This window comes from Homo sapiens, chromosome 8 (assembly GCF_000001405.40).
Source record: "Homo sapiens chromosome 8, GRCh38.p14 Primary Assembly".
In the NCBI taxonomy this organism is placed as follows: Eukaryota; Metazoa; Chordata; class Mammalia; order Primates; family Hominidae; genus Homo; species Homo sapiens.
The window spans coordinates 126,761,088-126,778,203 of NC_000008.11; the positions used below are offsets into that span (position 1 = coordinate 126,761,088).

Below are 17,116 nucleotides of genomic sequence, written 5' to 3' on the forward strand. Positions count from 1 at the left end.
CCTCGGCCTCCCAAAGTGCTGGGATTACAGGCGTATTTCAGGAATTCTTTTATAAAAGATTTAGAAAATGGGGGAATGTCCACAAGTGAAAAATGCTACCTTAACTCGAAGTGGCTAGAATAAGGCTCTAGAATTGTGAAGAAATCAAACTAAAATAAATATGCAAAATACTGTCTGTCACACCTTGTACTTTTTAAGCTAATTTGGCCCATCCAAGTACTATGTACATGATAAACGATGAAGTCAAGCTATAGATGTTTAAGCACTTTAATCACCTTGGGCTGCTCCTGTCCTCCTGACTTTGCACTTGTTCTATCTTGTTTCGCCAGGCTCTTGACCCTCACATTGTTTCTTGGTTTCTGTACCACCCTTGCTATTTGGTACCAAACCATCTTGAATTTAAAAAATTTATACTTGCTGCTCCTTTATGTCTAGGACTGTATTTTATTCTGCAAATTCCTCCTACTTCTGGTCACCATATCCAGAAGTCTGAAGAGGGTTCAGATAGTTGTTCTGAACATATATGGGGCATTCGATATATAGACATTGATTGGCATATTGCCTGCAGATTTGAATCATGGTAAATAGGAATTAGTGGAAGCCTGATTATAGATTAATGCCACAAAGTCACTGAAGTGACCCTTCGGACACTGTTTGCTTAGCGTATCATTGATTATAGAGAGAAATTATAACAGCCCCAGGATTGCTGTGAAGGGCTAATTCACACAATGCTGTCACATTTCCCTGACTCCTCTGTTCATGGGCCATATCCAATCAAAATTCTTACTGCAGAGTATGCTGGTGCCAACAAAATCTCCGAGTCTGGCACAGAGCTCTCCTGTGAATATAGTGAATCCAGCTACCTGGTGGCAATCTCTACTTAAATAACCTGTAGAGAGTTGAAACTTAACATGTCCAAAGTACAACTTATTATCATGCCTTTTATCATTTCTAACCATTTCTCTCATATTCGCAAACTTCATGGCACCATCATGCATTTTGCGTCTTCAGTCAGAAACCTGGGCATTGTCTTTGACATCTTTTGCAACTTACCCATCACATCCAATCAATCATCAAGACCTGTCCATTCTGTCAACTAAATAAACTTAAAAATCTGTCTACTCCTATCCATTCATACTCAGTTTTCTTTGAATGCATAATTTCCAGTCCACAATAACATGTACAACTTTCAATTAATTTTCCTGGTCTTTTTTACTTGATCTCTCTACTCCTACTCAGGAAGACCCCTATAGTCAAAGGGGTCTTTCTAAATGTCATACTTGATCATGTTAATCCCCAGCCTAAAATTCTTTCATAACTCCTTCTTGCCATTTAGATGAGTCAAGCCAACAATTTAGCATGGACTGTAGATTCCTTTGTAATTTTGTACCTGGGGGTTCACCACTTGCAACGTTCTCCATTCCAGCCATTCTAAGATATTTGCAACATGACATTTTAACATTCATCTCTGGACATTTGCATATATTCTGACCTCCACATGGAATATTTTTCTTCCTGATTCACCATTTCCAGACTAGTCCTAATTATCCTCAGGTTTGTACTTCTGTATTAGCTCCTCCTCCAGTACCTTATACTTACTCCTTCAAACCAATTGTTGACTTCTTTGAAATTGATTGTTTACTCGTTTGAATCCTCTCTAGACCATAAACTGATTGAGCATAGTAGTCTATCTTGTTTTCATTTTATGACCAGCATTGAGTGCAACACATGGCATAGAGTACTAGCACAAAACATTTGTTGGATATATGAGCAAATCCATTAAAAGTTAATGAAAGATGTGCTTATAGGAAAGTATTCAGCAGCTGCCATTTTATTTTATGATAGCAGTGTACTAGATGTCAAACCAAGAGTATCTCAGTATTTTTTTTTTTTTTGAGATGGAGTCTCGCTCTGTCACCCATGCTGGAGTGCGGTGGCACGATCTCAGCTCACTGCAGCCTCCGCTTCCTGAGTTCAAGAGATTCTCCTGCCTCAACCTCCTGAGTAGCTGGGATTACAGGCGTGTGCCACCATGTCCGGCTAATTTTTGTATTTTTAGTAGAGACAGGGTTTCTCCATGTTGCTCAGGCTGGTCTCGAACTCCTGACCTTGTGATCCGCCTGCCTCAGCCTCCCAAAGTGCTGGGATTACAGACGTGAGCTACTACACCCAGCCTCAGTATATTTTTAAAACATACACTTATTCGAAGTTTTCCTGAAAGAAACAGATAACCTGGTAAATGCTAAATGCTAATGGAGTACATGAAAGTAAATGTCACACTCCAGGCAAGCCATGTTTTTCTTTATAAACAGAGATGGACATAATTAACCCAATATCATCCATTCATTCTTTCCATAGACATTTACTATTCTCAGCAAAAATCCAAAGACCACAAAATTTGAGTTCTCTTACTGATATTTGGGATGTAACACTAACTTGTAGATATTCTTACTCTCTCAGTGTTTGGTGGCTTATAGCTATCTAGGTTAGAAGAGAAGGTAGCTGTAAAGTAGGGTAAAAAGTAACACCTGTATTTCGCCACTTACTTAGCTGAAGGACTTCAGATATGATTTGGCTCTGTGTCTCCACCCACATCTCATATGAAATTGTACTTCCTAATGTTGGGGGAGAGACCTGGTGGGAGGTGACTGGATCATGGGGGTGGATATCCCTCTTGCTGTTCTCATGAGATCTGGTTGTTTAAAAGTGTGTTGCACTTCACCCTTCTCTCTCTCTCCTACTCTGCCATGTGAAGAAGGTACTTGCTTCCCTTTTGCCCTTCTGCAATGATTGTAATTTTCCTGAGGCCTCCCCAACCATGCTTCCTGTACAGCCTGCAGAATTATGAGTTAATTAAACCTCCTATCTTCATAAATTGCCCGGTCTCAGGTAGTTCTTTATAGCAGTTTGAAAACAGGCGAATACAACTTCCTATCAATTCTAGCAACAGAAGCATCTTCTTTTGCTTCCATCTACTTCAAATGTCATCTACTTGTTTCTACTTTCTATTACCAGCCAAGCCCAGGCCACTATTATTTGTCACTTAGCCTTTCCATTGACTTTGCTGTTTCTAGGCTTGTCATAATCCAATTTATTCTCTGTCCTTCAAATAGCTAGGGTGATCTTTTCAGAGGGCAAATTTGATTTTGACACTGCTCTGTTGGAAATCCTTCCATAGCATCCCATTGACCTCAAGATAAAATTCAAGTTCTTTATTGTCACCTAGGAAAGTGTGCCAGATTTGGTTCCTGCTACGTTTTCCCCTTCAGATGAGGAATTCCACATTTCCTTTCTTTCTTTTGTTGTATCCAGCTACACTGGCTTTTTCTTCGGTCTTAGGTGAGCAATGCTCCAAATCCCAAAGTAGCTCCTGTTGCTGGTGAATAGTGCAAGCTCCTTATTATATAGCCCACTGTCTTTCACCAGGGAGGTCACAGAGCTCCCACTGCATTCCACCAGGGACCCCCACACTCTAGGAAGATAGCAAATCATAGAGGGAACAGCTCAAAGGCAGACAGGCCTGGGTTTAAATGCCCACATAAATGAAAAACAATAATATAAATAAGGAGACTAAAACATACTCACTATTATTTATTATTTGTATAGGGACTATACTAATTGGTTTTCATTTATTGTCTGTTTTTGGCCAAAAAACTGCTGTATCTTATATTTATTGCTATTTGATACATAGAGAATGAATATGCAAAGAGGATAAGTATCTTGGCCATCCAGTGAAATAGGCAAAGGGAGGGTTTAAATCTTTCAAGTAGCCAAGGTCTGTGACAGATTCTAGTGACAAGATTCTAGTGACAGAACTTAACTTCTGTCATATATAGAACATTTCTAGGATATAACAAAGTATTTAGCCTGCTGCTTAGCGAACACTAAATTTTTACTATAAATAATTGTCCTTTCTGGAAGGAGCCAACCCTGTTTCTTCTCTGCCGGACCACATCCTTTTCATGCTTCAGTGTTTACACAGCTTTTCTCTATCCCTGCTGTCACACCAATCATCCTCTGACTGACTCTACCATTAATTTGGCCTTTGTTTGGTTTTGTTTTTCATTCACCATGTAGGATCACAAACTCCTGGAGAGCGCTGGCTGCTTTTTTATGTTTTTCTGGCATCTCTCTCTGGACCTTGCATGGTGCAAAGCAATTGCAGACCACTCAATTCAGTGCCGGTTGAATGAATGTGTTAAGCCTCATAAGGATCAATCTTCTGACCTTGAACTCATTAGTACTGCACTCTAAACAGCTGAGCTAATGAGTTAGACTAAACAGTTAATTTTTTTTAAAATAAAGAAATGCTTTGTGAGCCCCATTTATTGAATAGCCCTATGTCTCTTAACTAGGGGATATTTTTCCACCAGGAGACATTTGGTCCTGTCTGGAGAAATTTTCGGTTGTCACAGAGCGGGTGGAGTTGGTACTAGCAATTTGTGTGTACAGGTCAGAGATGTTGCTAAACATCCTGCAATGCACGGGACAGCCCCATCAACAGAAAAGATTATCCAGACCACCATGTCCATACCACCGAGGTTGAGAAGCCCTGGGTTAGACTAGGTTATATCAATAGATTGTAAAGCTCAAATAGATTTTATCAGTTTATAAATATGTAGTATGAATCTATGTTGCAGCTTACTTAGATTGCATATAAACGTATGAACAATAGCATAAAACCTGTATCTGCTAAATATTTTTTGAATCAAATTTTCAAAAACTACTAGAAAAGCTCATGTGTAAACTTCATTAATTCAGAACTTGAGGGAAAGCTACTTCTTACAGTGTGATTTGTATTACATAGGCACCCAGTTTTATGTTTTGGCATAATATAACAATAATTCAATGTGTCAACTTACAGACTAATGCTCAGAAGATTTTAAAAATAGTTTTCATAAATTGATAAGAATCATCTGTTACTTACATGTTTTTGTAGTCAAAGGATTGATGATAAAGTTTTTAAAAATATTTTGAAACTTATTATAATTTTAATACCTCACTCTCTTTTACCTTTATAATTTCAAATAAGAATTGCAACTCACGTATCAAAGAGCATAAATTCCAAGTTAGTGGTATTTAAATTAATATATTATTTCATGATAACATTATGATCACATAATTTTTATATTGAAGTATAGTGCAAATGAAACCCACACACACATACACACACAAACAGAACAGCTGATGTTTGGATAGAGGCTAGAAACAGGGTCATGAAGATGGAACACTGGCTGTAAGAAAAGAATAGGATTACAAACAGGGATTCTTTTTTTGAGACATTGAACTCGTGTACCTGCAATGAAAGAATTTTTATATGTTATCCTAATATCTAAATTTTAAAATAAAAGTCAAAATAAATAAAGTTTCTCAAAACCAGAAAGATCATTTTTCATGTTAAAGAAAAGCATGCCTTTCCTGGGTCATTTGCACAAAGATTCCAAGAGGGAATTGGAAACTCTAAGCGAGGCATCAGAAACATTTTCACATTCAGCCTTTCTCTTAAGCCATGTAGCTCCTAAGAGTTTGTAGGAAATTTGTCTAAATTTCCATCCCGAAGGTTGGAGAAAGTTGTGAAACCTCTGCCAAAGATGAGAAGACTGTTATAAAAGAGACATCTGTAAAATGATGAGGTATAACCAAGAATTGCTCCAATTCTGAATCCCTGAAGACCAGGGATACTTTGATGAAATTAAAATGATAACACTTTCGGGCAAGCAAGACAAAAACGGATTTTACATTCTTCTTAGAGAACCTACTATAGACAGATACAATTGTGGCAGTTTGGATCAAAAATGGAATTAAACACATACGTGCATATTACCAGCAAAGTTAACTCGAATGAAGCCAATATTTCCATGGTTAAGTAGGTCATCCCTCTGATTACGGCAAGAAGGCTGTGATTAAAAAAGAACAACTGATTTGTCAGGCTTGATCGCTGATGACTCATTGCTAAAAGAATTCAACCATTTCAATTACCATATTTCTTTATAACATTACCTGAAATAACTGTGCCTTTTGAAAGTGAGACTAATTCTAATGGTATCAATAGCACTTTTGCAATGTAAAAAAAAATTAGCAGATTATTATGAAAGGCACCCTCATGCAGTGTGATGAGTACTGGAGTAAGAGTAGGGCTCAGACAACCTGTGTGCTGTTCAGCTCTGCCACTCACGAACTGTGTGGCCTTGGATGAGTCACGTGACTTTTATGAACATCAGTTTTCACATGTTAAGATGGGAATGATAATGCTTATTCCACTTTGAGTTTTGTTGATGGAGAAAATATTCAAATTCTAGGATCAGGAAAATAAAGAACTGTGGTGATATGGTTTGGATCTCTGTCCCCACCCAAATCTTGTGTTGAATTGTAATCCCCATTGTTGGAAGTGTGGCCTAGTGGGCGGTGTGGATCACGGGGCTGGTTTCTCGTGGTTTAATACCATCCCCCTTGGCATTGTTGTGGCAATAGTGAGTGAGTTTTCTCGAGATCTAGTTGTGCAGCCCCTGCCCCCAACTTCCTCCTGCTCAGGCTGTGAGAGGTACTGCTCCTCCTTTCCCTTCTGCCATGATTGAACATTTCCTGAGGCCTCCCCATGCTTCCTGTACAGTCTGTGGAACGTGAGCCAATTAAACCTCTTTTCTTTATAAATTACCCAGTCTCAGGTGGTTCTTTATAGTAGTGCAAGAATGGACTAATACAGTTGGTGATGAAGCATTGACAGGAAGACTAAGACTAGCTTGATTCTGAAAATGACATGTATTTTCTTTGGAGGAGAGTGAATCCAAGCCGATTCTCACATCTGTATTCAACACAATTTCTAAACTTGAAGAGATACACTGATATTATTGAGGGTATGGGGGCAAGATGTCCACTCTATGGAAGAGAATGCATACTAGACTTCAGTAGAGTACCTGATGGAGGAACTAAACTGTGAACCACACGGGTAGTGTATGCCTACACTAGCTGCAGGCAGATCTTGAGTACAAGTTGCTACTAGTCACATGTGTATGTTACATACTTGGGTGGAGGAGAGAAATGAAATGGGATTTACTTGGAAGATCTTATCTTTTATTATTTAATGACTATCCACCATTCTACAAAGATCTCCCATTATAGATCCCCTCCCATCATAAAAATATTACCAATTATTATTGCCATTACATGTTGGTCACTATCCATATATAAACTTCCTTTCATATTGAAAACAATTTTGAAGTATGTAGTATTACTTGTGTTTTACACATGAGCAAACCTTTGTTCAGATAGGCAAACTGATTTGACCAGGTCCCCACAACTACTAAGTAAAGGAAGCAGACATCAGCCCTAGGTTTGCCTGAATCCAAATCTGAATTTTCCTGGCATTCTTTTCATTCTTTTCATTCCCTGTATAAAACTGGAGAAGCACTCCATGTCCAAGATGGACTCCAAGATTGGCATTGTTTCTAATGATGAATGATGGGCAAGGTTGCCTTGTAACCCCAGCTTCTCAGAACACTAGCTTGGTGACCACCTGGCTGGAGTGATTTATTGAAATGTATCAGTTCTTGTTTCGATGCACTTAAGTGCGTTGCCATTGTACCTTGGGGTAAACAGAATGGGGATGAAGAACGGCCACGGCAACCACCCATGGAGTTGTTTATGTCTTGAAGCTGCAGTGCATGGCCCCCAGAGGGCTCTTCATCCTGTTAAGGTTTGCTGCGGGTGGTAGAGGCTGGGGAGGGAGATGGAGGGATGAGCACTTACCTATCACCATGGAGACAGGGATGCTGATAAAGAGCAGGCATCCTGAGGAAGCAGCATCTGGAATAGCAGTATTGCATTTCTCAGAGGGCCCTGGTGAAGCCGACCTTTTTCAAAGGTTCCATAAATAATTTACAATCCATCTCCAAAATTAGTCCCCATGCTTTTTTCTTAGAACCTGCAATTCTTTTGGCAGTAACCAAATTCCAGCTCAAAACTTATTGTAATTCTTAAAACATTTTCACCTTAATAAGCCCTTTGGTTGAAATCAGATAATGATGCGTCTCATCTACCTTTAACAGCGGGAGTGGACATTTGGTGGATTTATGTTTGCATTTGAATTTCCTTTGAATACCAGTTTATGTTTCTTCGAATGAAAGCTTCCCCCAAAGAGCCTCTCTTTTCAGCTGTATTTAATTAAACTTTTAAGACTAAGCCTTCCCATCCACGTTGAAACCCAACCAAATTTTTCAGATAAAAAGTGAAGGAGAAAGTTAACTAGCATGAGTTGAAAAACTTATTTTAAAAATAGATTTTATTTATATGTTCCAACAAAAGGTAATACTTACTTTATACGGCCTTTTCAAGAATTAAGTTGTGACGCAGATGTGGCAAACTCAAAAGTCTATAGGGGACAAGAAGATAGTATCATTGGTGACATGAGCTATGTGCCATGTAACAGGGCAGAGTGGGACCTGGAGGAAACTGCAGAGCATGTGTCTAACCTAACATAGGTATTTATTACTCAGCTTTGCCATTAAAAAAAGAAAAAGCAATCAGAAAGGCAAAAATGGCAAAAATACATGGTAAAATTCCCCCATTTTAAAATGATGACAACTAATTTTAAAATAATGGAACAGCTAGTGGTTAAAAAACATGCCAACATACAAAACAAACATGTCATGCGCTTCCAGTTTGAGACCTCAGTTGATGTACATACCTTAAAACCTTAGCACAGTGCTGGCACCTAGTAAGCTGTCAGTAAAAATTAGCTATTCATATATCTATATGAATATATAGTATATAATAAAGTAAAAAATATATAATATATAATAAAGTAATATATAATAAAATATATAAATAATAAAATATGCAATAAAAATTATATATAATTATATATAAGATTCATATATATGAATATATATATAAGTATTCATATATATTTTTGTACTTGAGTTACTGAGAGTTTTGTACTTTTTTCCTCATTTATGGAGGGGAAACTAAGGCTCAAAGAGCTGAGCTGGTATGTGACCTACGTGTTTCTGATCTTGAGTCTCAGCTACCCAGCAGTGTCTGGTAAGAGTGTCATTAACAGCTTATGCTTTTTTAATGCTGACCTGAATTCCATAATTTTTTTAAACAAAACATTACTTTTGCTGCTTTTACCACTCTTGTATTGCATGTCTGTCTTAAATTCAGAGAATTAATAGGCAGAAGCTAATAAGACACAGAAGTGTCTTATTTATTTATTATTAAAGGAAAAAGGCTCATATATGGAAATCTCAATTTAAAAAAAGAAAGACCTAGAGGGGTATTCTGGATTTACTCTTTTTAGGCCGAACTGCTTGCACTGTGACAGTTGCAGGATCTGAATTCACAGTTGTAACACGTTTTTCTTATCTTCAGAGAAAATAAGTCTCAAAAGACTCTTTGTGGCCTCAGTCTAAATTCTGGGTTCCCTAATGCTTTTTTACTTTAAGGATAAAAAGATTTCAAACAGACAAAAGCTTCCTCCGTTCTTGGTATTGCTTACAAAGCAACAACCATGAAGGTAATATTTCATGTTTTTGCATCTTTATTTTTGAGGTCCAAATATGTCCATATTCTATTAAGGAGAACCAAGGAGCAAAATCAAGGTCAGCGAGATGTGAGTTAATGACCCAGGAAGTAGAACAAGGTCAGTGAATGCAGATAAGTTATTGATCTAGGAAGTTGAAGTAGGTCAGTAAAATAAAATTAGAACTATGACCCAGGAAGTGGAAGGTGGTCAGTGAGTGAAACACGAGCTTGTGACCTAGAAAATAGAATCAGGTCAACAAAAGCAAGACAGTGTCTTAGTTAGAGAGTAGCTGTTGGAAGTCAAGAATAATGTTTTCTTTATTTCTGTGTCTTTATGCCAAACAAAGGCTGGTAACATCAGGAGATTATTTGAAGGAAAAAGAATAATTTCTTTTCTTAAGGCAGAGTCTCACTCTACTGTTTAGGCTGGAGTATAGTGATGAGTGATGTGATCATTGCTCACTGCAACCTCGAACTCCTGGGCTCAAGGGATCCTTGTGCCTCAGCCTCCTGAGTAGCTGGAACTACAGGTGCTTGTCACCATACCCAGCTAATTTATTTTATTTTTTTGTAGAGATGGGGTCTCACTATGTTACCCGTTACCCAGGCTGGTTTTGAGAGTCTCAAATGACCCTCCTGCCTTGGCTTCCCAAAATTTTGGGATTACAGATATGAGCCACCACGCCCAGCCATATGATTCCTTTTAAATTAAACTTTGTAGGTTCTCTGCCTCTTTGCAGTTGTCAAGCTTTGGGGATTTCCTTAACCTCTTTCTGCCTCAGTTTCTTCATTTGTACAATCAAGATAATAATATGGCATACCTCACAGGTTGTTGTGAGAATTAAATGATGTATGTGAATGCTTAGAACGGTGCCCGATAAGTATTCAATAAGTACTTATTTTTATTATCATTATTAGTATAATCATTATTACCATTATTATTCTCTTTTAAATATTTCAAATTGCCTTTCTCTTTCTTAATGAGCATATTCTGTCACCTACTGGTGTGTTTCTCAATTATCTACTGGCTTCTTTATTGCATAGAACCATCCACTAGTTGTTAATTAATAGACAGCAAGGGGGTTCTTCGTGAGACAGGCTCTCTCCTGCTGTGAAATACTATCGAAATCACATCTGCTAATTCAGTAGCACCGAGACCCAAATTCCCAGGGCATTCTCCCAGAGTAAATCTATGATAAATAAATTGATAACAAATGAGTTGTTTATTTCCCAGTAAAAGGAACATGGGAGAGTAAGGGATATTGGTTTTGTTTTATAAAACAGATTGTCATGCAAAGGATAGCTTTAAATCAGAGATTGTGGGTTTGATACACATAATGCCCGAGGGAAAGAGAAATCTCAGCCTGCTTTCCTTAGCATCACTTGACAGTTGAGTGGAAATTTCCTCTCTATTGTATGGACATAAGTATGATGAAAATCATGTCTACTTGGCTTGAGGTTCTTATAAAGATGAATTTGGGTAGGAGCTATGTATTAATAAAAAGCACAATGGATTTCTTCCCTCCATCTCCATAGAGGTCTGCTTTTGTGACCAATATCTTTTTTTGTTGTTTCCTTCTTGCTTTTTATTGCTCATTGATGTGCATTTCAACAAAATCTGTATTGCTTTATTACAAGGTGAGATTTTAAGTCCCTGGCAAAGCGGAAGTCTATATAATATAATGTATATGTCTAGCTTTGATAGCCTGGTTTCCACTGATTTGCTGACTACTTAAACTACTATACGGTTATCAAAGCAGGGCCACTACACACAGTGCATCCCTAGCCCCTGCCCCAAATTTCTACTTTCATAAAAAATGGTTTGGGGAATGCCATTTCAGCAGAATAATAACCATTCTTTCTGTGTGTATGGTGCTCTACAGTTTCAAAAGCTCTTTCCCACACAGTTTGTCATTTGATTTTCATAATAAACCTGTGAGTCCAGCAGAGCATTATCATTTCTATTTCATATATAAGGCAAATAAACCTGAAAGAATATAGTCAATTCATAGAAGGTCACAAAGTGACAGTGTGGGGATTTGAACTCAAGAATACATGACTCCAGGGTCCTTGCTTTGTCCTCTATTCTCAGGCAGAGAGAAGTGATTTCTCAAAAACCAGTCCATTCATTAGAGTGCCTCTTTTTCTAAAAGGATCTGTATACTGAAAGCATGCTTAGAGGCACAATCTGAGCCATGAAATGCAGTATTTTTTATCCAGAGTGCCTCTGATCTTGTTCTGGTCCTTTACCTTTTTAAAACTGTTATGGAAAAAAACGCAAAAAAGTGTGGATTCTTTCTGGGTTCAAGTTTGTTAGGAGAGAAAATCATCCAGAGGTCACTGATGTTGCTGGTCACTGGTGAGGTGGAATAAAGGGGTGAGGAGTTAGACCTGGGTTTGGGTACTGGAACCACCTGTTTCTAGTTGTAGTATCATAAGAAATCTCTGTAAGCCTCAAAGTATTTATCTGGTAAATGGGCACAATAACAATATGTGCCTTATATAGCTGGCATGAAGATTAAAAACTTATTTTCTATAAACTGCTTAGTAAAGAACATTGTTTCACAACCACTTAAATAAATTATAGTTACGGTTACTATTATGCCAATCTTGTCATTGCTATTTGAATGGTATAATACAGCGAAATAATCCTACTGGAAATGCCTCAAGCACATTTTGCCTTTGGGGGTCTTACAAATCTTTGGTTCTTCAGACATAAAAATGATGAGTAAAGAGAAGGATACATGATGAGTGTTTGCTTTCATGCCCTCTATGCCCCATCTGTCCTTGTACAAAAACTGATCATAACAGTTACCACATTCCTTTCAATAAATTCAGTGTATTTCAACACATGTTATCTGAGAGCCAACCGCGTGTCAGTCACTGAGGGAAGAGATGGAGAGGACATGGGTTTCAGCTTCAAGAAATTAATGGTTGAAGGGGGACAATGAAAAACAGATGTCTTAGAACTGTGCTTCATGTACAATTATGTCTGTATGCCCAGAATAATATGAAAACTATTTAGGGTCATTATGACATACCAGGGGCTTAGAAGACAGTGAGAGGAATCTTTAAAGCACTTTGACATTAACAAAGTATAAACAAAAAGTCAACAAGAGGTGAAAGATAACTCTGAAGTGGATTTCTGAAGTTAGGTTGCCTTAGTCAGTTCCTGCTGCTGTAACAAAATGCCTGAGACCGGGTGATTTATTAGGACAGAAGTATATTCCTTACAGTTCTAGAGGTTGGACAGTCAAAGTACCAGCAGAACCGACATCTGGTGAGGGTTGCTCCCTGCTTCCAAGATAGTGCCATGTTACTGTATCCTCACATGGCAGAAGGGCACAAAGGCCGAGGTAGTTTCCTCTAGCCCTTTTATAAGGGCACTCATCCCACCCATAAAAGCTTTGCCCTCATGACTTTATCACCACCTGAAGGCCTCACCTCTTAATACTATCACATTGGAGTTTAAGTTTTAACATATGAATTTTGAAGGACAAATGCATTTAAACCATAGCACAGGTCATGAGATGCTATTGATAAGATGTGGGCATTATCTTATAGGTTAGAGGTCATAAAGGCACAGAACATGGGCCACATGCAGCTCATACAGATTTTGATTGATCTCCAAGATCTTTTAAAAATGCATTCACATAAATATGAAAGCCTACTTCACTTAAAAATCTCAATGACCATCATCTGGAGAAATCACTCAACCCACATTTCAACACAATATCAATTAACTGGAACTAAAGTATGGCTACCTACAAAATACCAGGCACGCTAAGATTTGCCACAGTTTCTATCAGCCCTTTTAATTACACTTGGCCTACTGCACTCATTTTTACTATGTATTTGATACCCACAGATGTATGAGACTGCCTAATACTTCCTCCATCGTCCAGTGCTTAACACGCATATAAAACTACACCTATCAGAAAATTTAATGTCGATCTCTTTACTGCAATGAATACTGCTTTGCAAAGAGCCAACAAACTGCTCCACTCCCCAAACACCAATGTTCTCATCAAATCATCTCTATCTGAATGCAGCAGATTAGAATAAGGCTGATAGGCAGGTTACAGCAAATTAATGGCAGTAATGTTGGTACTACTTCTTACTGCTGCTGATAATAGCTAACATTTATTTAAGTCAACACTATGCTAATAAATTTACATTGATTATCTCAATTAATGGTCCTACAAAAGCAGTTATATTATTACCCCCATTGTACTGATGAGGAATATGGGGCTTAGAAGTTAATAAAATTGTCGGCAAGGCGCAGTGGCTCATGCCTGTAATCTAGCACTTTGGGAGCCCAAGGCAGGCAGATAAGCTGAGGTCAGGAGTTTGAGACCAGCCTGGTCAACATGGTGAAACCCTGTCTTTTTGAAAAATATTTAAACAATTAGCTGGGCTTGGTGGCATGTGCCTATAGTCCTAGCCACTCGGGAGGCTGAGGAAGGAGGATCGCTTAAACCTGGGAGGCGGAGGTTGCAGTGAACCAAGATGGTGCCACTGCACTCCAGCCTGGACGACAGAGAAAGACTGTCTCAAAAAAACAAAAACAAAAAAAATTGTCAAGGTTGGAGTATCTTAAACACACACACAAACACTCTGTAGTGCTGCATACTAGAGGGAAAATCCTCCCAGGTGGTACTATGAGTAGGAGGGGAAAGGCAGAAACAGGAAGAACTGTGATAGAGTACATATACTGGGGCTTATGATGTTTGCTGTTTTATATCTTCAAAGAAAATAACATTTTAGCCCAGTTCAAACCTATTCAATGACAGCTGCTTGATAATTGGTCTAAGAGTTGTACAAATAAACCTGCCACTCAGCTATAGACCTGTCTATAGCTGACCACTGTAGCTGACAGAACCTATTAATAGTGATCTATAAACTCTGTCAATAAGTCTGAAAGAACTTCTAACAAAAAAAACCCAGAAAGACCAATTTGAATAAATCGGGGGACAAATTTTTAGATAAAAGAAAGGGAACATTATCCTGAAAACTCAGAAGAATAAAAACCTTATGGATATTTGAGAAAACAGCCTGGTATTTTCAGCAAGATGTGAGAAAATCTTGCCTCTCTGAAACAAAGGCAGAGTCCCATAAGGAAGAACTGGTTAGCAGAAAAGATAGTAGGATGAGATGAAAATATGCAAATTAGTGAAGTAAAAGATGGCTAAGAAACGGAAAACACTGCAATAGCACAATTAAAATAATTGCCCAAAATAGAAAAAATAGGAGGAAAAGTCAGAAATTCTGCTTCCTGAATGGCAGACTATGAAATTCAGACTAACCTTCTGTTGAAAAAAATATTTTAAAAAATGGGCAAAATGTTTAAAACCAAAAGTATTTGCACATTTATTTGAATGAATTTTAGGGCCAATAAGGAGATAAAGAATTAAACAGCCAACATTAAATAATATAACAAAATCTTGAGAGATAGTTTTGGCCTTTAGAGCCATTTTTCTTTCTAAAATCCTCCCAGTTTGTCAAAAGGCAGATTAGGGGTAGGGAAGCTGAAATGAGATTTCAACAGCCTCATGGGTTTGTAGAGTAAACAAACAAACAAACAAAAAATGTGATTTCAGTACTTGTTAATGATGTGTAGTACTCCATTCAGGTCTTAGAATATGACCATACAGGCTACATCCTATGAATAAAGGTCAACAGATCAACCTGCAAAGGGATTGAAGCCGAGTTTTGAGTTATTTAATAACTGATACTAGATTAAATTATTTCTGAGTTGATCCTCTAGGTTTATGCCTTCTCTAGAAGAAAGTAAATCTCCTAAGGCTGAATTTTTGAATATATTTTTATTTAGACAATTCAGTGCTCAATAGAAAATTAACAGGATTTTATGGAGTAAAATCACATGATATAAAATCAAGAGAAAAAATGAACAACAAAAATGGATGCAGAGGTGACAAATATAATAAAGCTGTCAGACATAGATAAAACAAATAAACAACTCTGTTAAATATGTTTAAGAATGTAAATATAGGATTGATAATTTTGACAGGGACTTGAAAACTATAAAAAGAAACCAAATCAAAATTGTAGACATGAAAATATATAGTAACTATAAATAACTTAATGTGTTATGTGTTAAAGAGTTAAAGAGCAGATTAGACGAAGCCAGAAGTAGAATTAGTTAACTAGAGGATAACCCCCAAAGTTATATTATATTTTATTATATCCAAAATAAAGCATGTAAAGACAAAAGAATGAAAAATCCAGAAAAATGTGTAGCATACATAGAGAAGCTAGCAAAAAAGTCTTAAATGCACATATAATTGGAGACCCAGAAGGAAAGAAGAGGGAGGGGAAGGGCCAAAAAACAATAAGAATTTTCTTAAAATGACAAAATAAATTACAGATTGAGGAAATGTCTAAATCTCATGCAAGATTAATATAAAGCAAACCACACCTAGGACCATGATAACATGACTGCTAAAAACTAAGGGCAAAAATTAAAATCTTAAAAACATTTTCTTAATCCAGTCTATCATTGTTGGACATTTGGGTTGGTTCCAAGTCTTTGCTATTGTGAATAATGCCGCAGTAAACATACGTGTGCATGTGTCTTTATAGCAGCATGAATTATAGTCCTTTGGGTATATACCCAGTAATGGGATGGCTGGGTCAAATGGTACTTCTAGTTCTAGATCCCTGAGGAATCGCCACACTGACTTCCACAATGGTTGAACTAGTTTACCGTCCCACCAACAGTGTAAAAGTGTTCCTATTTCTCCACATCCTCTCCAGCACCTGTTGTTTCCTGACGTTTTAATGATTGCCATTCTAACTGGTGTGAGATGGTATCTCATTGTGGTTTTGATTTGCATTTCTCTGATGGCCAGTGATGATGAGCAGCCATAAAAAATGATGAGTTCATGTCCTTTGTAGGGACATGGATGAAATTGGAAATCATCATTCTCAGTAAACTATCGCAAGAACAAAAAACCAAACACCGCATATTCTCACTCATAGGTGGGAATTGAACAATGAGATCACATGGACACAGGAAGGGGAATATCACACTCTGGGGACTGTGGTGGGGTGGGGGAGGGGGGAGGGATAGCATTGGGAGATATACCTAATGCTAGATGACGAGTTAGTGGGTGCAGCGCACCAGCATGGCACATGTATACATATGTAACTAACCTGCACAATGTGCACATGTACCCTAAAACTTAAAGTATAATAAAAAAAAAAGAAGAATGAATATGGTTACAGAAGTGAAAGAATCTGTTTTATCAGATACAAGGTTTATTATAGAGCTGTAGTAATCAAAACAGTGCAGTGCTGGAAGTCTTGGTAAAAAAAAAAAAAAAAAGTGAAGTGAGGGAAGACATATTAGCTTCAGATAACCAGCAATAATACAGCCTATTTATCAGAGAAACAAAGAAAGCAGAATATGAAGGAATAATATCTTCAAAGTACTGAAAGAAAAGGATAGCCAATCTAAAATACCATACTTAGCACTGGGTGTGGTGGCTCACGCCTGTAATCCTAGCACTTTGGGAGGCCAAGGAGGGCAGATCACCTGAGGTCAGGGGTTCAAGACCAGCCTGGACAAATA

At 37.7% G+C, this 17,116-nt stretch overlaps 2 long non-coding RNA genes across 6 annotated transcripts in view; one reads left to right on the forward strand and one right to left on the reverse strand.

Annotated features, from left to right (window-relative positions):
• The window catches only part of LOC105375751 (uncharacterized), a 463,156-nt gene that overhangs the window by 203,212 nt on the left and 242,828 nt on the right, over positions 1–17,116 (forward strand). The window lies entirely within an intron of this gene.
• Positions 5,708–17,116, reverse strand: part of LOC105375753 (uncharacterized) — an 80,166-nt gene continuing 68,757 nt past the window's right edge. Inside the window, exons 3-5 of one of the 2 annotated variants that reach the window (XR_928636.3) lie at positions 8,313–8,368; positions 7,747–7,803; positions 5,708–5,897 (exon numbers count right to left, since the gene is read on the reverse strand). This is a non-coding gene — a long non-coding RNA (uncharacterized LOC105375753). The remainder of the gene's footprint in view (positions 5,898–7,746; positions 7,804–8,312; positions 8,369–17,116) is intronic. The other variant, XR_928638.3, reaches the window with a different exon arrangement.